At 42.7% G+C, this 23,809-nt stretch overlaps 1 protein-coding gene across 2 annotated transcripts in view, besides 2 other annotated features; it reads right to left on the bottom strand.

Annotated features, from left to right (window-relative positions):
- The window catches only part of VPS13D (vacuolar protein sorting 13 homolog D), a 282,018-nt gene that overhangs the window by 59,637 nt on the left and 198,572 nt on the right, over nt 1–23,809 (bottom strand). The window lies entirely within an intron of this gene.
- Nucleotides 18,780–18,924: an enhancer, noted in NCBI's record as "145 bp enhancer 265 fragment used in the MPRA reporter construct; PK_construct_3723". NCBI's record gives its function as "activates an SV40 promoter by MPRA in HepG2 cells {active_cell/tissue: HepG2}" and the evidence as "EXISTENCE:reporter gene assay evidence [ECO:0000049][PMID:23512712]".
- Nucleotides 18,847–18,857: a transcriptional cis regulatory region, noted in NCBI's record as "NFE2L2 motif; enhancer activity is reduced when this motif is scrambled". NCBI's record gives its function as "necessary for full MPRA enhancer 265 activity {active_cell/tissue: HepG2}" and the evidence as "EXISTENCE:site-directed mutagenesis evidence [ECO:0005528][PMID:23512712]".

Raw genomic sequence — 23,809 nt, 5'->3', positions numbered from 1 at the left:
GGTCCTTGACTTTGAAGATGGTCATCAAAACAGGGCAGAGATACCCAAAAGAGCTACACCATCATGTAGGGAGTGACTGGCCCAGGCCATCCTTCATGATCCCATCCTCCCACTGTCTTGTGACAAGTAAAGCCTGGAGATAGAGGTCCAGATTATTCAGACGAAGGAAAAATGAGTCCCGATATGAGCAAGTACAAATCCACTACACACCCAGTCAACCAAGCAATCCAACATGTGCAGAAGCCCTACTTGTACGGCAGGCTAGAGACAGAGAATCAGAAATCAGAAGTGGTTTCTGTCTCTTGCCTTCAAGACCTCAGTAGGGAAGTATGGATGTGGCATAATAGAAAGATAATCACACCTGAGTTTGAATTTTGACTGTGACACCCAACAGCTATGAGATCACAGACAAGTAACCTTTGCGGGCCTCTGTTTTCCTCCTTTTCAAAATGGGGATACAAATATTCCCTACAAAGATGCTGTAAGGATTAGGTAATACATGTAAAGCACATAGCACAGAGCCTGATACATATGAGACATTCAATAAAAATAGTATTATGTTATCTAAACTTTGACTTCTTTATATGCAAAATGGGAATAATCAGATTCTGCAGGACTGTCTTGAGGATTCAGGGATAGTGTGCACGTAAAGCATCTGGCATGGCATATCCCCCCAGCAAAGCGGAAGCTATCTGCAGCAGGGCATAACAGCACCAGGGTGTGCTAGGCTTCTAAACTGGGAAAGCGACTAGCAACTGGAAGGTAATCTGCAGACAATTTGTAACTCTTTGGTTATAATACCTTAACACCAGAAGGAGCATTTGCAGAGACTTAAGTCTGCCTACCTCATTTTGTAGCAATCTCAAGTCCACAAAATACTTAAGGCTTCAAGTGCATGTTGTTCTAGCTAAAATGAAAGGTTCCAAGGAACAAAATGTCCTTCAGAAAATCTAGTGTTACACTCACAAAGACAATGATTTTCCCCTTCCTTTCACTTCAACACATGCCATACTTGTGAATTCTGGCCACAGTCCAAAGTCATTAACTTCTATAAAGCAATATTTTCAGCAAGGGGGTAAAAATCTCAGAAGTACTTCAAGATGCCAGTTCTACTGAATAGCTAACACACACTCTGTCAACACCCTCCTTCCCAAAATAATCTCATTGTCTACACAAATGGAGACACTGCAAATTAGCCTGGGTTTGGGGCCTGGCTCCGAAGGGTTGATTTTCTAAAACTGAAATTCAAGTAGACACTGGAATGGGGCAAGGGAAAAAATTCACACTGTGTTCCTCTGTTCTGTCTGATCAGTTTACCTGACCCTTTTATGATCTTCAGCAAGCATGGGGTGCCAAAGGCATTTGGCCAGTGTAACAGGAGCTGGGGCTTGAATTTCTCTCCCTTCTCTTGGGTTCTTCTTTCACAGTTATTTACCTAATGGAAATTTCCTCTTTAATATCTTTGCCTCACTGAGTAATTGCTGGTGGCAGTATCTTCCTTGTCACCAGGGAAGATGGTAACCAAATACAACAGGAAAAGAGAGAAGTGGCAGGACTCCGTAGTGTGATGGAGAAGTTTTATATTCTTCCAAGTACAGATGCTCCTTGACTTATGATGGGATTACGTCCGGGTAAGCCCATTTTTAAGTTGAAAAGGCTTTAAGTAAAAATGAATTTCATACACCTAACATATCTAAACATGCCCGGAACACTTACATTAGCTGACAGCTGGGCGAAGTCATCTGGCAGCAGGGCCCACTGTAGAGTATTTGTTCCCTCTTCATGATCACGTGGCTAACTAGGAGCTGCGGCTGCCCTAGTGCCCAGCACTGCGACAGAATCGGATCACATGTCACCAGCCCAGGAAGATCAAAACTCAAAATCTGAAGTACAGTTTCTACTGAATGCATATAGCTTTTACGTCATCGTCAAGTCAAAAAATTGTAAGTTAAACCACCACAAGTCAGAGACTATACAAGGTTGTACAGCTGCAAACCTCAGCTACCAGCACAGCTCTAATTCTAATCAGCATTGTCTGCAATAAGCTATGTCTGAACTCATAAATTTGGAAAACCCAACTATCTATTGTGCCTCTAAGTAAGGCTGCCATGAACTTTGTGGGAGTTGCCACGATGTAGTCAAACAAGCAGGAGCAAAGGAATCAAATCTTACCCTGACAGTTACCAAACACGCATGCTGGTGGAAGAGGCTTAATTTCTCTGAACCTCAGTTTATCCATCTGCTAAAATCACATACTTTCTACTGTAAGGGATTGCTCTTTTTTTTTGCTGGCTGAGTCTCAGTCTGTTACCCAGGCTGGAGTGCAGTGGTGCGATCACAGCTCACTGCAACCTCCACCTCCTGGGTTCAAGCGGTTCTCATGCCTCAGCCTCCCGTAGCAGGGATTACAGTTGTGTGCCACCACGCCTGGCTAATTTTTGTATTTTTAGTAGAGACAGGGTCTCACCGTGTTGGCCAGGTTGGTCTTGAACTCCTGGCTTCATGTGATCTGCCTACCTCGGCCCCACGAGGTGCTAGGATTACAGGCATAAGCCACCGAGCCTGGCCTGCAAAGGACTGTTTTGAAGAGTTAAGAGAATAATTAATGCAAAATGTTTGGTGTAGCATTTGGCCAACACTTTTTACAAGTTTCTTAGAAGTAGTATGGGACTTTCAATTTCAGAGTCATTTTCAACTCTGCTGGTATACTACTAGGAAAACCATCTTTGAGTCATGTAAGACCTAAGTCACTTCAAAACGAAAGTCTTCACCACTGACTTCCGTTTCATACTGTCAAAATATCCACAGTTAAAAAGTATTCTGAGTGTGAGTTTTGCCTTGATGTTGAAGAACCCTTTTGTGATACTCATAAACAGAGAAGAGTTAAAGGAAAATGTGACCTGAAAAGCAGTGAATATCTATTGTTGATAAAAGGCAAACCAAACAGCTAGTCCTCACTCAGCCAAATCACGAAAGGGTGGGGAGGCTGGGAAGAGGCATTTAAAAAAAAAAAAAAGGCACGGAACAAGTTGAGGTTTGGCAAGAAGGAAGCATTTCTGGATTCCAGATTTCTATCCACTAGAAGAGGAGTGCTTTTGTCTGTTTTCAGTTCTACTTGGTTATGGATTATGTATAGCCCTTAAGGCAAAGAGAAAAAAAGGGGAGGAATCCAGAAAGGGGACCCTGAATAAAAACAATACAGGCATTTTAAAGTTGGGACTGACATCCTAATTCCAGTAATATGCCTAAGCCAATGACCTTGCTTTTTTTTTTTTCCTGGTCTCTGGAGATCTAAAAGCCCTCCTACCCTAAGATGCACACCATGTTGCTATTTCACGGATAAACACTTATCAGGCAACAGACACTCCTTTTTCAGTTAAGAAACAAAGTTATCTAAAGCCACCCAGAATTATCTCAGCACCCAAGGTTGAAACACATGCAAGGAAGTCAGGCCTCAGGACTGTCCTGCTGTCTTAACTAACCCAAGACACACGCCTGCTGAACTGGCAAGTTTCTCTTGCTATTCTGCAACTCTGACCCAGTTGTGAACTCAGATGCTGTTTCAGATTAATCTGGAAGCTCAGAGTGGTTTGAAGCATTCCCATAATAGGATTTTGCTTTTTCCTTAAAAAGGATTGGTGGAGTATGCTATAAAGTAAAAACCGCAGAAATAAGCAGGATGTACACAGGTAGAATCAAGACAACTGATCTTCAACATAGAGAAGTCGGGGCTTAGTCAAATCCTATTTTCCCTATAGTTTTTCTACATTGATTATAAAGAATTATGAAGGAAGGATGAATCCTGAAGCCCAGCTGTGGATGGAATTGTGTCCTGCCTTTCAGCTCTTCATCAGCTAGGACCCAGTGTAGGACTTTTTGGCAGAAGGGGGGTATGCTTATGTTGAAAATGCCAGACCCCTACTTGTCTGTTGCTGAAACCCCATGAAGCATGCAGAGGGAAGCCTGAAGACAGGTTTCCATACAGTTAGCACTGGCCATGGGGAATATGCCTTCCCACCCCATGAGAGCTCCTGTTTTGCCATTCTAACAAGGTTTTTGCATAAATAGCTTGTGCCTCAGTACTGAACCAGGAGATAGATTATAATGCAGGAAAAAAAATTCCCTCTATGGCGGTCACACCATAAAGCCTGATTTGGCAGATAACTTATTTCAACTCCAAGAAAACACACAGGCTCTCAAAAGCAGAGTCCTGATGCCAACTCTTGTCATTAGTATCAGCTGGGTGAACATGAGCAAAAGACACACTCTCTTTAGAATCAGTGTCTTCATCTACAAAACAGGGAGAACACCACCCATGGAGTTACCCACGGCGACCTTGGTTACGAAAGCACTTGGAAAAAAACACAAATCAAAGGGTTATTACTGGAAATCCTATCCTTTCTTCCAATGAGTGCTCTCCGGTTCCCTCCTCTTTCTCCCCCACTGAATCTTGCATGTCTCATCCTAAACTATGGAAATCACCTCATGCCCATTCTGGAACAAAGGAAAGCATAAATATGTCAATTAAAATCGCAAAATACAGAACTTTAGAAATGAAACCGAACATTCCTCAACAGAAAAGAAGCTCAAGATGATCTCCTTCCTAGTCACAAGACCTCCATTCTTACAAAGTACTTTGTATTTATTTCAAATGAATAAATATATTCACTTTAATGCCAAAGGCTTAGAAGAAAGGAGGCTGATGACATCAGAGAGAATAATCATAGATGCTGGGCACCAGTATAAGCTGAGCTTCTTGTGGCAAAAGTAAAATAGGTTTCAAGGGTTTGGAATAAGTTTTTTGAGGTTTTTAGAAAGAAATCCGTTCCCAACTATTTCTTTAAATAAATTAAGTTTTAGATGAGTGTGTGGCAGAGTAGGTAAGGGCAAACTTCCAAGTACTGAAGACCACAGTGGAACTTCTGGAATCATAAGCATCAGCCAACAACGTTCGTCATGTGCCAGCCACTGTCTTTGGGGCCTCTCATCAATGAAATATTTAACTAGCTTAATCCTCACAACAATCCTGTGAGGTAGTATTATTATGCTCATTTTACAGATAAAGCTGGAAAGACCATGAGCATTTCCAGCAAAAGTCTGCTAAGTATCTATGTGTGATACTGGGTAACCTAGAGAGGTAACCCAACCATGACTTTTGCTATTGTCTTCGTAGAAAAATTCCTTCCTAAATGCCAGTGAAAATTATACAGAGATATCAGGCATATCTCTTTTCTCTCCCAAGTAGCAGAACTGACAAAGGAAGGCAGCTGACAAAAGTATATTAAAAAATTTCTGAAAAATTACATGCAAATATCTGGACAAGGAAGAGGAGTCAGGCTCCAGTGTTCTTTCTTGATCCATATCCGTAACTCAGACACCTGGCCCACTTCCATCACCCAGACCTTTCCGGAGGCCACGTGGCCTAGAATCTACTTCTTTTCCCAAAGCTACTACTCTGACAATCTGAAACAGGTCCCAAAGAAATAGGAGGCTTGGTACATGTCCGTTATGTGGATCACATCACACCACACCAGCTTACATTACTAGTATGTACCATTTATACTAGGAAGAAAGATGGAGGCCAGACTGGGGTGGAGATTGGGACCAGTGATTTCAAGAGGTGCTGCCTATGGAGGAGAGGTCTCCTCTTCCACCCCAGCTTCTTATAGGAGAATGATTTCCTGAAGGACGTAGAACACCAAAGCTAAAACATTTGCTAAGTTAGAGCTGGTCTGGTCAAGCAAACTAACTCCAAAAGAAGCTACTGCTCTGGAAAGGCCTGTTTCATGTACCAGTAATGGACATATATGGAGATACAAATATAGGGGGATATGGAAAGAAAGAGGACTATGGAGAGAAAGAGGACTATAGAGAGAAAGCAGGCAAAACCAACCATGCTCCTAGGGTAAAAAAAGAAGATTTTGAAAGTTCATTTGGTTCAATCTTCATTCCTCTTGATCTTTGCCATTGTTCTTTTTTTTTTTTTTCTTTTTTGAGAGGGAGTCTTGATCTGTCACCCAGGCTGGAGTGCAGTGGCATGATCTTGGCTCACTGCAACCTCAGCCTCCTAGGGTCAAGCAATTCTCCTGCCTCAGCCTCCTGAGTGACTGGGATTACAGGCACGCGACACCATGCCTGGCTAATTTTTGTATTTTTAGTACAGATGGGGTTTCACACCATGCTGGCCAGGCTGGTCTCAAACTCCTGACCTCATGATCCGCCCACCTTGGCCTCCCAAAGTTCTGGGATTACAGGTGTGAGCCACCATGTCCAGCTGATCTTTGCCAGTCTTCTGCTATTCAAAATACCCCTGACCCATCTAAGAGTAATACACCATTCACAGTGGAAACTAAGCTATTGTTTCTAACAACTAACTTTTTATGGTGGTGGGTAGGATAGACCTGCATTTTGGGAAAGCTACACATGCAAAGCTGATACTTCACTTCTAGCAATGTCCAGGGAAGTTATTTATACACAAGTGTCATGTATCTGGGTAAGACCACCAATTGGGAACTGGTCTTTAGCATCTGGGAGAACAAAGAAGTTGAACCTGTCTTTTGCAGAGGAGGTAGAATGGGAATGGGAGGTAGTTCAAATCTAAGGTACTTAAATTAAGTCCTGTCTCATTTCTTTAGAAAACTGGCTTGATCCCAGGCTCAAATGAAAGGTCAAAAGAAGGTTCTTTTAAAAATGAACTCAAATGTTCCCATTTTTTTTCAGATGGGCTAAAATAGGAATAAACTTGCAGCTTAGCTACTTCCCAACAGTTCCTCAGAAACCTCTGGTCTTTGCCTAGGATTTGCCTAGGATGTCCCTTGGATTCCTCAGTGGCCTTTCAGTCGTCATTCCAACCTTTGCTATCTCTCAATCCACAAAGGGTGACCTGGGAAAGGACATTAAAAATTCACACCCATCTACTTCCAGCAGATCTGGTGTCTTGAACCTGAATTAGTCATCTCCAGGTTAACTGATTTCAGGTCTGAAAAGTCCTGGACTATGGAAGAGAACAGAATCCACTTAACTCAACATCTGCCCTTTCCAAAGGTGGCTACACGGCCTATCCTGATGCCTTTTGTTGATTTTAAGAGAAAACCTTCAACGACTAGAAAGATAGGAAAATGAGAGATCTGGTTCAATGTACTTTTTACTTAGAAGAGAACTAATTAACCCTTGTTTATAAAAAAGATTCACCAACTTTCCTGCTTAAGCAGAACGGATTCTTCAGGACTCAGTTTCCTTAAGTCCTCTGTTGTGACTCCAGGGGTTGAAGCTGATTACTTTCTACCTCACACACACTGTCTCTGACCTCATCTTTCTATTGTCTATCCCAAGAAAAAGAATCCTTCCTCTAGACTCTTCCCTTTAAGCATCAGGCTTTGATCCTTTCAAAAATACAAGTCCCTCTGGGAAACTCCTGCTAATATTTACCCCTTGCCGCAAATAAAAAGTTAAAAATGCAGGGGAGGTATGCATGGGGGAAAATTTAAAAACTGGGTATCTGAGGTAGAAGGAAAGAAGAAGTTTAACTCCTCTCTGGAGAAAAATAACATTGGCCAGAACCTCTAAAATCTTTCTTATACAATGTCAGGAATTCAATTAAAATTTCCAGATATGTAAGAAAACAGGACTAAATGACTGAAGACTAAGAAAAAAAATACAAGATTCATCACTGGTATAGTATGATTACTATCTTCAGAAGAAAAATAAGATGGACAGTTTTACCAGAAAACTAACATTAAGATTTTAGTAAATGGTGAAACAGCAGAGTCGACAGAATTAGCAAACTAGAAAATGAGGTAGTAAAAAATATCCAGATGAAACATGAAGAAAAACCAAGGGGGTGAAAATACAGAAAAGAGCATGAGAGGTGTAAGTGACATAGTAAAAAAGGTCCAAATTCTGCATAACTGGAGTCACAGAAGGAAAAGAAAGAAAAAAAAGGGGGCAGAAACAATATTTAAAGTGACGCTGGCCAAGAGTTTCCCAAAATCGTCCAAAGACTTCACTGCAAATTCAAGAAGTTCTACAAATCCCAAGCCTGAGAATCATATCGAGGCATATTATTAATAGAAACTAAAAACAAAGAGTAAATCTTGAAGTTGTCAAAGAAAAAAAAGGACACATTACCTTTGAAGGACAAACAATAATACTGAAAGCTGTTTCAAGAGAAATGGATGGAACAACAATGGGATGATATCATAAAAGACTGAAAGAATAAACATAGTAAAAATATCTTTCAAAAATATAGGTGAAAGAAAGATGTTTTCTGAAGCTGGGCACGGTGGCTCACACCTGTAATCCCAGCACTTTGGGATGGGCGGGCGGATCACCTGAGGTCAGGAGTTCAAGACCAGCCTGGCCAACATGGTGAAACCCTGTCTCTAAAAAAATATACAAGTTAGCCGGGCACGATGGCGGGTGCCTGTAATCCCAGCTACTCAGGGGGCTGAGGTGGGAAAATCGTTTGAATCCAGGAGGTGGAGGTTGCAGTGAGCCAAGATTGTGCCACTGTACTCCAGCCTGGACAACAGAACAAGACCATCTCAAGAAAAAAAAAAAAAGAAAAACAAAACTGAGATAATTCATTGCCATAAGAGCCACAAAAGGAAGTTCTTTAGCAGAAGGAAAAGGGCCCAGATGGAGGTATGGATAGGCAAAGAAAAGAATAAAAGACGCAGACGGGATAAATATGTGTAGAGATCTAACGGATATCAATTATTTAAGCCAAAAAAAAAAATCATGTTTTGTGAGGGTTAAACATAATGTAAGTAGAACTAAAATACATGACAATAACAGCAAAAAAGACAGGAAAAGGCAAATGGAGGTCAACTGGTATAAGGACTGTGCATTGCCTGGGAAGCAAGAAAAAAAGAAAAAGAAGCAAAATAAAGATGGGACCAAAAAATACTCTCTAATCAAGTAACTCCCATAATGGAGAGACTTTTATATGTGTTGCAGGAAACATGAACAAGAATATTTGTAACAACATCAGTTCATGCCAGCAAAAACACTGGAACAGTCCAAATGTCTAATAGTAAAATAAATAAACTGTAGCACATTCCTGCAATGGAATACTATACAGCAGTGACAATGAATGAACTACAGCTACATATATCAACATGCATGAATCTCAAAAATGTCACAGTAAGTGACAAAAGGTCACAAAAGAATATATTCAGTATGACTTATATGTGAGTTAAAAACAGGCAGAATTAAAAATATATGTTTGGTAAAACTGTAAACAGAAGAGAAAGATTTGATTAAAACAATATTCAGGACAGTGAACACCTCAGGGTATAAAGTGAAGGAAGAAGATGTCACCTGGAAGGCTTGAAAAGTACTGGTATATTCTACTGTCTAAGCTAAGTGCTAGGTCCTTGTTTTCATTTCATCATTCTTTAAACTGAACATATACTACGCAATATTCTAATGATCAACTCTTCTACAATTTAAAAAATGTAATGGAACTTGTTTTCTAAGCATGCTACCAAAGGCAGAATTCAATTTAAGAAATAAACCTTAGGCTGGGCATGGTGGCTCACGCCTGTAATCCCAGCACTTTGGGAGGCCGAGGTGGGAGGATGACTTGAACCCAAGAGTTCAAGACCAATCTAGACAATATGGCAAGATTCCGTCTCTATAAAAATTAGCTGGGCGTGGTGGCATGCACCTGTAGTCTCAGTTACTCAGGAGGCTGAGGTGGGAGGATGGCTTAAGCCCAGGAGACGTAAAGGCTGCAGTGAGCTGTGATGATGCCACTGCACTCCAGCCTGGGTGACAAAGCCAGACCCTGTCTACAGAGAAAAGGAAAAAAAAAAAAAAAAAGTAAGGGAAATCTTGGAAACAATCACTTAGCAAAAGTTTTGAGAAGCTGACTAAATAGTAATGGAGAATTATAATAACTTGTATATTCAAACAAGTTAGCCACAGAAACTTGAAACTCTTCTGTTGAAACACACAATATAAGTTTGTTTCATGTAACTTTAGTTTCACCTTCGTTTACAGCCACACTGTCCAATAAGTTGACACACTACAGAGCACTTAGAAGGTGATTAGTACTACAGATTAAGATATGCTATACAATGTATAAAATATATAATAAATTCAAAGACAGTGGGAAAAATATAAATCAATTTTTACATATTGATTACATATTGAAATAATATTTGAAACATAATGAGTTAAATCAAAACATTAAAAATAAGTTCACTTGTTTCTACTTTTTTAATCTGACAAGAGAATTTCTATCAGATAGTGTTGTTTTAGAGATCTGACTCTAAAAAGTTTAAGGACACAGCTTATTAAAATTAAACTCAGAAAGTACCAATATACAGGATAAATATGTGTAGAGATCTAAATTATATCAATTATTTAAGCTAAAAAAATCATGTTTTATGAGGGTTAAGCATAATATAAGTAGAACTAAAATACATGACAATAACAGCAAAAAAGATAGGAAAAGGCAAATGGAGATAAAGTGGTATAAGGACTATGCATTGCCTGGGAAGCAAGAAAAAAAGAAAAAGAAGCAAAATAAAGATGGGACCAAAAAATACTCTCTGATCAAGTAATGAATTTCAGTTAATTCCTTCCACATAGACTTTAGATGACCAATGATATCTTGCAAATGACTGCTATCGCTTAAACAGAAAACAACAGATGAAAGGTATTGATTTGGATTGAAGAAGAAAGATCTTTGCGACTCCAGATGGAAATATCTAGCAGGAAGGTGGGGGGACAGCTCATTATGGAGTCGTGCCAACATCAGCTACTACTTTTATCGTTCCTGCCACCAGCAGGAACCCTTCAAATCTGTGACTTCTCAACTTCGACCTGGTCCTCAGGAATGCCTGTCCATGCACACAAACCACTGCTTCTACCCACTGTGCTGCCTCTGCACGTGGCTTTCTGAGTGTGGGTATCCGACTGTTGTGTGACCATTTGTTCATATCTCTTTTCTTCACAAGGCTGGTTGGGGTGCTGCATACAATGCTGAAAAGCTGGCGTCCATGCTTTAATGACAGGAGGCCACCCTGGTCATCTTTGTACCCTGTCCCCCGCCCCGGACAGTGCCTGAAACACAGTTCGAGTGCAATAGAGATTTGCTTTGTATTCCTTTTCAACTCCATCCCCATTTCATACAAATGACAGATTCTATTTACTTCACTAAGAAAAACAAATCTTGGTTGGGCACAGTTGCTCACACCTGTAATCCCAGCACTTTGGGAGGTTGAGATGGGCAGATCACCTCACGTCAGGAGTTTTGAGACCAGCCTGGTCAACATGGCGAAACCCCGTCTCTACTAAAATTACAAAAATTAGCCGGGCATGGTGGCGCATACCTGTAGTCCCAGCTACTCAGGAGGCTGAGGCAGGAGAGTCGCTTGAACCCAGGAGGCGGAGGTTGCAGCGAGCTGAGATTGCACCATTGCACTCCACCCTGGGTGACAAGAGTGAAACTCCATCTCGAAAGAAAAAAAAAAATCTTTTCCTCCCTTCATTTTATTTTTTAATTTTATTATTTTTTATTTTTTTGAGGCAGAGTCTCGCTCTGTTGCCCAGGCTGGAGTGCAGTGGCACGATCTCAGCTCACTGCAACCTCTGCCTCCCAGACTCAAGTGATTGTCACGCCTCAGCCTCCCGAGTAGCCAGGATTACAGGTGTCCACCACCACGTCCAGCTAATTTTTGTATTTTCAGTAGAGATGAGGTTTTGCCATGCTGGCCAGGCTGAGCTCCAACTCCTGGCCTCAAGTGATCCACCCACCTCAGCCCCACAAAGTGCTGGGATTACAGGTGTGAGCCACCGCGCCTGGCCTCCTTCCTTCACTTTAAATTGCATAAATAGACTGACTCTTCCAAGAATTCAAACCCTTCTTCTGTGCTCTTGTAAGACCCTGTCCTGCATATTACTACTGCTCTGTCAATCATCTCTTTTCTCATCGCTTCAATCTTTGCAGCCTCTTCCTCTTAATCTACACAACCTTAAAAAAGCCTGCCTTTAGCTTTCCCTCGCATTCAAGCTGCTGCTCCAGCCCTGCTCTTCCCTCTACAGCCATATCTTTTAAGAGTGTTCTACACTTATTGCTGACACCACCTCTTATTTTTCATTCACTGAAAACCCCCAAAGCATATACTGATAGCAAATATGCCAGGAATCAAAACACAAAATGATGTCCCTCAATACTGAAAAGCCTGGATGTAACTGGAAATATGGCAAACATATTTAGTAACGGTTGCTTACAGATTTCTCAGCGCCTCTCTCTCTCAGAGGAGCCCAGGCATCACTTGTTCTTGGGCGGCAATGTAGAAAGCTTAGTGGAGTATCCAACAGGCAGCATCTAGGGAGCTAAGAGATTCTAATGCAGTATTCCCTTTAAAACATTTGAATGTGTTCATATCACTACAAATGTGCATACAAATTCATAGAGCCAATATTCACTGCAGACATAAATGAGGGTGAGGCATCCATAGGAAAACAGCACAGTAAAGTAGAAATCAGAAAAGCTCTGGGGTCACACATTAGGGTTCAAATGTGTGACCTCAAAGTGGTTTCACTTATTGGCTGCGTGATCTTGGGAAACTTCTCAGAGCCTCAGTGTCTTCATCTATAAATGGAGATAATGCCTAACTCCAAGGGTCTGTCTGTTCCTTCCTTCTTCCCTTTCTTCCCTCCTATCAATAAAAACTTACTTAGCACTATTTGCCAGGCACTGTTCTAAGGGCTGGGGATGTAGCAGTGAACAAAACAGACAAAACTTTCAGCCCTCATGAGATTTACATATACTATGGACTGAGTGTGTCCCTCCAAAATTCGTATGTTGTATGAAAATTCATGTCACATTTCAGTTGTATTCATAGCTGTACAGAAAATAAATAGTATAAAGAAGTAAAATAAAAGCAGTAACAAAAGTAGAAAAACAAGAGGGGAGGAGGAGAAGAGGTATAGCTGGAGGGGGCTGCAATTTTAGATGGGGGAGGGGATGTCAGGAAGGGCCTCCCTGAGAAAGTGACATTTGGATAAAGAAAATGTAGATGAAAACCATGTGGCCATAGAACATTCCAGGAAGAGAACACTGAGTGCAGAGACCTTGGAGTGGACGTTTGAAGGCAGAGGGTTGAGAAGCAGCGAGAACAGTGTGGCAGGAGCTGGTGAGGGGTGGAGGGTGGTGAGACAGTGAGGCACCAGGTCAGAAAAGGCCTGCAGGAGGCTGACCTCGTGGGCTTCGTGAGGTTGCACAAGCTGGAATTTTCTATGTGGAGTGAAACGGGAAGCCTCTGGAGGGGCTGGGTGACCAAATCTGTTATGTTTTGACAGGATCACTCTAGTTGTTGTACTGAGGTTCAATGTCAGTAGTAGGAAGCAAGGGTGCAAGGAGAAGTGTACTACAATAAAAACCAGGCCAAAGATGAACGAGGACTAGAAGGTGGGCGCGGGAGGGATATGTTCAGATTCGGGATCTGCTGAGGGACTGGACATGCGGCATGACCGAAAGGAGCCAAGGATGACTCCAAAGTATTTGAGCAACTGGCAGAAAGGAGATGGAGAAGAATAGCCAAAAAGCTATGAAGTGGCTAGCGCTATGCCTGGCACACAGGAGAGGATCAAATATTAGTTCTTCTTTACATGTCAAAATTTCAGTTCTGACTCAGAGCACAGGCAGCCAGCTCTAACGTGCAAGCGTCCCAACACTTGTTAACTTCCTCTCAAAACCAGAACACCTCTCATTATCTAATTCTTCTTTTGCCAGGGAGGAGGAGGTGAGATCTTAGGTTTCATGTGGTCGGCAAGGGCTGGGTGCTGATCTGTGTTTCCCCACTGAACAGGGAAGGATCAATGAAAAAGACAAGTAAACCACATGGTAAAAACTCAAGAAAATTTTAAAGAAACAGCATTCTGTGTTATGTGCTGTCTCAGTGTGTTCATGCTGCTACAACAAAATACCGTTAACTGAGTGGCTTACAAACAGCAGAAATTTGTTTCTCACAGTTCTGGAGGATGGGAAGTCCAAGATCAAGGTGACAGCAGATTCGGTGTCTGATTCAATGTCTGATGAGGGCCTGCTTCCTAGATGGCCATCTTTTCACTGTAACCTCACACGGTAGAAGGGTGGGCTAGCTCTCTGGGGTCTCTTTGATAAGGGCACCAATTCCTTGATCTAATCACCCCCAATGACCTCTTGACACCAACACCTTTGGGGTTAGAATTTCAACATATGAATTCTGGGGGGACACATTCAGTCCATAGTATAAGAAAATTTCTCTAAGTCCTATAACAGAGACTCAGTTTACTGAGTTCAGGACATAAGTGATGAGCTACAGATGCTCAAGTTTTAGGGGATGGGGGTGGGAAGACAGCTACGGAACACACATCAAGGTGTGCTAAGAAAGCCAGGGCTAGGAGAGTATATCCAGACTGATATTTTCCCAGGTTTTGCTCAGGGAACCCTTTCATTGCCACATTTGCCAACCAGCTCAACCTAAGTTCAATTTTAGGAGTCAAAGGGCCCAGCCTGTCTCCCATCCCAACAGCTGGAAAGATGCCATCCAGCACTGTAATTTTTGAGCGCAGGGAAAACATCAGGGCTCAAAGGTTCCAAGAAGTCCACAGGAAATCTACCTAGCCTTAGTCTAAACAATTGCAGAAAAACAGTCATTCCTGTCTCAAGATAAACATCCACTTTTAGTCTATACATGGAAAACTAAAACTACGAATCAAAAATTGGATACTGTTAGTTGCCTTGAATGGAAAAAGAAAGGATGGATTTCCAGAGAAAAATCTACTCATTGGAATGGATGGGGGAGGGGAGGGTTGGGTTAGAAAACCATGAACCACATTCCCATATGTAATGTGCTCTTCCCTCTCAAATTTAGCTCAAATCTAGTTTAGCTTTGTGTAAAGAAAATGGTGGAACAGTTGAATGGCCAGTCAAATGGGGTCAGATAGTTTCCCAAAATGTGGTTTGGGGATCAATGGCAAACACTTCATCTGTTGAGCTCCAAATTGCACAGGAAAGCACAAAGAATGCCCCCCTCCCTCCTTTCGTCCTGCCTTTCTAATCAGTTGTTTTAGGGTCTAAAGGCCTTTTCCTTTCACAAGGACCCTTAGTTTGTTTCCTCTGGGCTTTAGGGAGGGTGAATTTCTACTCTAGATGGAGATATTAGGTTAATGAGAAATGCTGGAGGCAGTTCATGACTTTGCACTAGACTGAGTCACTCTGGTCAGAAAGAACAGTTTGGTAACTCTGCAATCTACCTACTGCAAACAAGCCATGACTTGGTTTGGTTTTAGCTCTAATTATATAAAAAGTGAGTCAGGGTTTTTGGGTACCCCCCTCCCGCCGCCACACACACACACACGGTGTGACAGGCTGTTGTTTTTGTTTGTTTGGGCCCGCTCAGTGAAAGGTATAACTGTTTTACCCACATAAAAATACTTGCAAAGGCCAGGAGCGGTGGCTCACGCGTGTAATCCCAGCACTTTGGGAGGCTGAGGTGGGTGGATCACCTGAGGTCGGGAGTTCGAGACCAGCCTGACCAACATGGAGAAACCCTGTCTCTACTAAAAATACAAAATTAGCCAGGCGTGGCGGTGCATGCCTGTAATCCCAGCTACTCGGGAGGCAGAGGCAGGAGAATTGCTTGAATCTGGGAGGCGGAGGTTGCGGTGAGCCGAGATCACGCCATTGCACTCCAGCCTGGGCAACAAGAGCAAACCTCCGTCTCAAAAACAAAAACAAACAAAAAAAAACTTGCAAAAAATAATAGTTAACATTGTATATATGCAGATTATGGTCAAATCATGACAAATAACAATACTAGGCTCAAAAAGTGAAACATTCAGTTAAGTCTCTTCCCCTTTAAATTCACGTGGTGGGTGGGGGCGAAACAAGGGAAAACAAAGGGATGTACAATGAGCCAGTCTTTCCCCACTAGGCCAGCTCCTCATTCCAGAGGCCCACCTGCTAAGCTCCACTGACCCCTCCCTAGTCCTGCTGCTGCACACCCCAGGCTCCCTCCTGCTGGGACTGCTCCCTGTGTGCCTCTTCTTGTCCCCACCTGTCTCTTGTCCACATGGCAAGCATCTCCTTGGACTTCAGGATTGGGCACCGGCGTGCCTTCCCCTGTACAGACCTTCCTTGTCCTGGGTAGAAGAGTCCACCCCTTCCTGAGATCCCCCTACAGGAACCCCCACAGACACCAAACTCAAACCTGGAACACTTTCCCACATGTGTGTGACTGCAAGTCCTCCTCCCCTGCTGGATGGTGACCCCAAGGGGAGAGGGCTTTGTTTTGTTTATGTCTGTGTCCCCTGTGCCTAGCACAGAGCCTGGCATTTCTAGTTGTCCATACATAGTTGTGAACTTGCTCTAGAGACACAATAAATAGACCTGTTAACATGAGGTTATGCTTTTTGCACATAAATCTATAGTCAGCTCGATGTGTAGAGTTAGAGCAAAGTCAAAACTCCTTCACTAAGTGTCTCAGACAGGGTTAGAACAATTTCCTGGTTTCGGCCACACACTTTGGCCTGGATGGTACAGCATCTACAAAAGAGCTAATTATACAACACAGGGTAGCACAGGAAATGACTTTAAACTGTGACTCAAATTCTCTGTATCCCCTTGATAATACAGCCTTACATGGTTAATCCCTGCAAATATATCGCAGAGAGGTTCGAGAATGAAGCCTACTAGATAGAGTGCTGCTTTTGCACTGGTATTAAGAGGACGGGCTCTGAATCAGAGAATCTCGGTTCTTAGCCTGGCTCTCCTTGTAACCTTGGGCAAATTAGTTAATTTCTCTGAACGTCAGTATCCTCATTTACAAACTAGCATTCCACAGGGTCGTTATGAGGATTAAACAAATCAATTTGTATGAAGACTCAGAACAGTACCTGGCACATAGTGAAGCAGTCAATAAATATGAGTATCTTTTTGTTGTTGTTGTTCAGACAGGGTCCTGCTCTGTCACCCAGGCTGGAATGTGATGGTGCAAACACAGCTCACTGCAGCCTCAACTTCCTAGGCTCGGATGATCCTCCCACCTCAGCCTCCCATGTAGGTGTGACTACAGGCGGGTGCCACCACGCCCAGCTAATTTTTGTATTTTTTAGACTTTTTTTTTTTTTGGTCATGTTGCCCAGGCTGGTCTCGAACTCCTGAGTTCAAGCAATCTGCTCACCTCAGTCTCCCAAAATATTAGTACCATTTTTAAAGCTATCCATTCAGTTACTAAATTCAAAACTTATTTCAACTGGGCAATCAGTATCAGTGTCTATCCCATGTTTTCTGTATAGCAATGCTGAGAAATAAAGATAAATGTAATTAACATTTTAAACACTTACGGTAAGGATACACTAACATATTCCGCAGGGCTAAGTTAACTACTCCATTGTAACTATTTATTTCATAAACTGCATGGCAAGCCTGACAAGCCTACTGGTCAACTTTGACAAAAGATTATGTGAGACAAATGCCAAGGAAATACAAAATTAACATTGTTGTTACTCCTTATCAGACCACAGACAAAAACAAACCCACCAACAGTCCAGAATGAAGGAAACAGGTTGTTGGCTTTTGATTGGAATTTCCTAGGATTGTTACCATGTAGTACAAGATTAATCTAAATGTTTCTTTGTGCACAGACAAGCTTATGTGGAATGTATCAGAATAATATAATAAAGGCTTAGGTTTATGTGTGAACAAAACTGCTTTCAAAAATGTATCATTATCAGGCTGATTAAGAAAATACCACAGATTTAAACATACCTGAGGCCTATAAATAAGTTAGTTTGCTGCTTACTGGGGGTGGGGGGAATACACAGGCTAAATAAACAAACGAAAGTACAGGAAAATCAAACACTTTCAAATGAGCTTTCTTCCTTAAGTAGGTGTAACTAAAACCCAGTTGTATGCTAGGACTACTGAGTATTTTCAAGATAGTGCATGCTGTGGCATTTTAAACCACAGAGCCAAGCTGCTACCACCGCCACCTCAACCACCAAACTTTAAGAGCACACGCTGTGCACTGACTCATTTCATCCTCCCAGCAGCACCCTTCACAGCTGGCAAGTGGATTTTCCAAGCAAAAGGGAGAAACCTAGAACACACCACAAATAGGTACCTATTTTTGCCTTGATGTGTCAAAGTCAGAGAAAAGGGCAAAATTCAAGCAGCTGACCAACGGCATTTCAACAACAGGATGTTCCCAGGGAGACTGCGGCAAAAGATGTCTTTCACAGTATATGTAATTCCACAAAAATAGCAGTTAAAACCAATACGGCATCAGGCACAATGAATGACAATTTCAGGTTAGAAATAACCAAATGCTCAGCCTCTAATTTGTTTTCTTCTGTTTTGAGGGATAAAACAGAGGAATAAAGAATGTGCTGGAAATTTGGGGAATGCACTTCAAACTTCTTTCCTCCTCCTCCTCCTCCACACACACACACACACACACTCTCTCTCTCTCTCTCTCACTCTCTCTCTCTCCCCACCCCCTACCTCCTCCTCTTTGTAAAAGGCCTTTAATTAGCTCACATCCTATCCTGGCCAGGGCTGCCTAATACATTCTGACACCAGCCTGTTGGCCAGGCAGTGGGGTCTAAGTGCAGGCCTGATTAGCGGGATCCCAGTGGATCCCCTGCCGCTCTTATCTCCACAGATGCCTGATGAGTTTGGTATCTTCCTCCCAGCCCTCCCGGGAAGCTGCCCCAGCAGGTGCCCATTGGCAATAGTTTTGTGTTACAGGCCTGAATGAATGATCCCCGCAGGAGCTGCCGACTGTTTTCACAGACACAGAAGGCAGTCAAAAGTCCACTGCGTGAACTTGGAATGACCCCAGCTGCAGAGTCACTGGCGGGTTCATCGGGAGGGCAGGCACGCTTTATTAAACAACTAATACTCTTCACAGATAACTTTCCGAAAAAGCAAAAGTGTTAACTCTTTGCAATCTTGCTCTGACAAAACACTTCAGCTGTGGCGGGGCTCCCTGTGTGACTGAGGGTCTGAACCCAAGTGAGGGCTCTGAGATGGAGGAATGGCGCCAGCAGGGACCATGATTTCATCTGGCCTGAAGAAGGGTTGGGACTCAGTCACCATTTGGTCTACTGTTTTGTTGTTGTTTTTTTGTTTTTTTGTTTTTTTTTTTTCCCCAAGCGTTCCAGATTAAAGCGAAAAGGCAAAAAGCAAAGGTTTCGAGCACCTACTCCAGGGAGGACAGTGTGGCTGGGAGTCAGCCTGACAGTTACAGCCCCCAGCCAGGCCGGCTCTCAGCACCTCCAGAACAAGAGGGTGGCCCCTGGCTCATTCTGCCACATGCCTGTGCACCCTCGCAGATATGCGTGGGCCCCCATGGGGCTTCCATTCTAAGTTACCAGGAGAGAAAAGGTACTAAGGTACTAAGCTGTGAAGGCCATTGCAAACTCTCATCACCTGTGGGACTGGTGGGGCAGTCATTTTGTTGGCAGCAGCCAGATGCTGTGCAGTGGGTTCCCTTTAGAAGGAGGACTCAGACGCCAGGCACAGTGGCTCATGCCTGTAATCCCAGCACTTTGGGAGGCTGAGGCAGGAGGATCACTTCAGCCCAGGAGTTAGAGACCAGCCTGAGCAACATAGAGAAACCCCATCTCTACGAGAAAAAAAAATTTAGCCAGGTGTGGTGGTGTGCTCCCGTAGTCCCAGCTACTCAGGAGGCCGGGTTGGGAGGATTGCCTGAACCCAAGAAGCAGAGGTTGCAGTGAGACAAGATGGTGCCATTGCACTTCAGCCAGTGAGACTGTCTTAAAAAAAAAAAAAAAAGGGAAAGGATTCAGAAAAGGAAAGGGGTTCAGATCAAAGTGTTCTCATAACGAAGACAAAGCCATCACAAGTTCTTCCAGGGTTGCTGGACAGCAGGCAACTGGACACATCCACATTTTCAGTGTCCACTGAGAGGTACAGCAAACAGCCACTTCTGTCCTAGGGCAAGAACCAGTACTAAAGATGTTTTCGCTCTTTTCTTTTTTTTTTTTTTTGAGACGGAGTTTTGCTCTTGTTGCCCAGGCCGGAGTGCAATGGCACAATCTAGGCTCACAGCAACCTCCGCCTCCCCAGGTTCAAGCGACTCTCCTGCCTCAGCCTTCCAAGTAGCTGGAATTACAGGCATGCACCACCATGCCCATCTAATTTTGTATTTTTAGTAGAGATGGGGTTTCTCCAAGTTAGTCAGGCTAATCTCGAACTCCCGACCTCAGGTTATCCGCCCGCCTCAGCCTCCCAAAGTGCTGGGATTACAGGTGTAAGCCACCGCACCTGGCTTGCTCTTTTCTTTCACACAGCCTTTAGAAAGAACCCGATGACAATTCTAACAACATACAGAGAAAAACATATGAACATTTAGAAAAATTTTAAAATTCATTTTAACCCACAAAGTTAGATTAATTTTGGCATCACCCAAAGACTATGTGTCTATTAAAGTTTCATCTCTACTACATCTCACCACTGCCCACTAAATCTAATTATAAAGGGATTCCCTATTTCTTTCTTTTCATGGGGGCAGGTCTTGTTCTGCTTTCAGGAGAGATGCAAAAGTTTTGCATGGGTTTACTCACTGGGTAAGATTCTGCTGAAGGACTAGTAATAGAAGGTGCTTTAAGGAGCTGTACTACCTGCAGCCCCTTCCGGTAAGTTGACCTTGACACAGAACAGACTGGTTCAGTGCAACAAACCCTTGAGGGCTTCCTAGATCACAGGCTAAGTGCTTAGGGTTAAAGATACCAAGACGAGTATGACTTAGTCCCTTGTACTCATGGAACTCAGTATAGTATGGGAGACAGACACACAAATGGATAAAAAATAAAGAACGCTGAGAAGATATACAGTAGGCAAGGCTTACACCCTACTACTTTTCTCCCCCTCACTCCTACCAAGCAGGTGCCCACAAGCTGCCGGCCCAGTCTCAACAATCATACTAGATCTGTAGCCAGAAAGCCTGGGTTTGAGGGCTAGCCCTGTGACTAATTAGCTTTGAGAACCTTACAGGGTCTCAGTTTCTCTACCTATAATTTGAGAGGGCTAAAGGCTGGCCTTAAGGTTCTTTCCCAAATCTGCTATCCAAAGAGTTTCTACTGAATATCAGCGATTGTGTTAAGAGTCTGCATCTGGGAAAAGCTATTGTAGCTTTGCCATATTCAGCTGGAATAACTAAGAAAAGTTTTAGTGTTGACACATCTCTTAGGAAGAATACAAGATGGGGTTAAATAGGCAAAAGTTAGAGAGTTTAAATTATCATATGAAATATTATTAAAACTAGGCTTCTCACCAAATTCAATTTTTTAACATAAGTTAGACACAGTTCACTGTTATGTTTTTACCTTTTACAGAGAAACAAGTGGCAAATTCTTCCTGTGTTTAGTCCTAACAACTTTTATCTCTCCATATAATTTATTTGTTGAGGCACCTCAGTTTGTCACGTTAATTGATTTCTAAGCAACTCTTCTGTAGCAATCCTACAACTTTCACTTGCTAATTCTACTGGACACAAAATCCAAACAGGCTGGTAAAATCTATCTGGCTTTGCCCCCTTTTGCTTTGTTTCTTAGTGATCGTAGGACTGGAGATTTGCATGACCCGCTGAGACTATAGAACCAAGCATTCACACAATCTGGCGTGGGTGCTAGGAAAGCAAGGCCCTCTTGGAAGCAAGATGTTTCACAGCTGTCTTCAAGGCATCAGAAGCTCCTCTGGCTCTCCTCTGAGAAGGCTTAGTGTGGTAGGAAAAGAGTGGGCTCAGTGTTTGTGAAGCCTGGGCACCATCCCCTGGTTCCAACACTGACTGCACGGTCTTGGCAAAACCATTTAACCTGTGTAACTTAATTTCCCATCACTGGAAGGGAAATGATAATCATACCTAACCTGCTGGCCCCACTGGGATGTTGCAAGGTTAAATTATCTCACAGACGTGAAAGTGCTTTAATTCCTGAAGGAGGAAAGAGTGCTTTCTAGAGCAGCAGTATGGTCTTTGAAAAGAGCTTGGGGCTGTAAAGAGCCTGGTCCTCTTCCACAAACTCCCTGTTTGACCCTCCAGAAGTTAATTACCTTCACTGTGACTCAATTTCTTTATCCGTCAAATGGGGATAAACTTGACTCTTTAATGCATAAGTTTGTGAAGATCAAATAGTAACAGGAGGACGCTACAAAGGTTGAATTGCTATAAAACTACAAGGAGCCATGAGTGCCTCCTCTTTTATAACTAACTTTGGCATGATCCTTGCTCATTTCCAAGTTACCAATAAAGAGAAAATTACCTCAATGGCCACAATATCCTGCTTTGAACATTACAATGGCAACAAAACTGAGACAAGGGGCTGTTTGGGAAGCATGTTCTGCTTAATTTTCACTTCAGTGAAAACAATTAAGGTTTCCAAACCAATGTTTTATTATATAAATTCAACAGCTTGCAGGAAATGTTTACTTCAAACATTTTCCTGGAATAAAGCAAATATTTCCCATAAATATTATTTTAATTCATTAGATTAAAAGGGACTAGGTTTTCTTCTCCTTCCTCTAAACCAGCTTCCTGCTACCTTAAGCGAAGCCTGGGTCCAATCAATAGTGCCCACCTGGCTTCATGAGAGCCAGGTCAGTATCTGCTAAGCGCTTGCTGTGCCCCAGTGCTGTGCTAGACCTGAGGCATGGGGAAGGGAGGAGAAGAAATAGGATCCTAAAAGTCAATGTCCTTTTCCTGTCTGTATTGCTATAGTACGATTTTGGCTATTCACCAGCTTACAGATATGTTTGGGGGGAAACTTGTAAATAAACTTTTAAAAAGTTTGTATGGGCTAAGTGCAGTGGCTCACGCCTGTAATGCCAGCACTTTGGGAGGCCGAGGTGGGTGGATCAGCTGAGGTCAAGAGTTTGAGACAAGCTGGCCAACATGGCGAAACCCCATCTCTACTAAAACTGTAAAAATTAGCCTGGCATGGTGGTGGGTGCCTGTAATCCCAGCTACTTGGGAGGCTGAGGCAGGAGAATCACTTGAACCTAGGCGGCAGAGGTTGCAGTGGGCTGAAATCACACCACTGCACTCCAGCCTGGGTGACAAGAGTGAAACTCCATCTCAAAAAGAGAAAAAAAAAAAGGTTTGTTTGTTTCCATAAAAAAAGAAAATAGCTAGACAATAACACATTCATTGAATGTACAGCATGTGAAAAATGCTATGCCAGATAAAAGACAGCCCACATGGATACAACCTGGATCACTTTAATTTTCCTTACAATAACTATTTATGGCTAGAGGGGAGACTGGCAAAAAAAAAAAAAAAGTTGTCAGATAAAATCCTGGCCCCCCTCCACAGGGTCTACTCTGGGATGCAAATAAATACAGACCGTTGCATTCCATCTTTTGTCTCCAGCCAATCTCATCCTTGAGGAACACAATCAAGTGTTCTTACCCCTGGCCCCACAGCACTTCTCTCATGGAACTGTGCAGTTTGCACAGACCCCACTGCAATACTTATTTCCTCTGGATTATCATTACTTACTCCTTCTCTGCCTTACCTGTTCCACATCCTCACAAAAAGAAGAAAACATTTTCTAAGTCTTCCTTTCTAACATTCTTTCACAGCGCCCAGCACCTAATTGGTGATGTGAGAAATGTTGACGGATATCAGAGATGTGTGCACAAATGGTTACACTTCAAGGTAAAATCTGGTGCCTGCTGTAATGGAAGCACACGGGGCCATGGGAACTCACAGTGGGGAGAGATCACATTCTTAACATGGCAAGTGGACTGGGCCTTACAGACTTGGAGCCTCTGGCCAGAAACAGA

This window comes from Homo sapiens, chromosome 1 (genome assembly GCF_000001405.40).
Source record: "Homo sapiens chromosome 1, GRCh38.p14 Primary Assembly".
In the NCBI taxonomy this organism is placed as follows: domain Eukaryota; kingdom Metazoa; phylum Chordata; class Mammalia; order Primates; family Hominidae; genus Homo; species Homo sapiens.
Note: the sequence above shows the minus strand (reverse complement) of the source record. Positions and strands in the feature narration are given on the sequence as shown.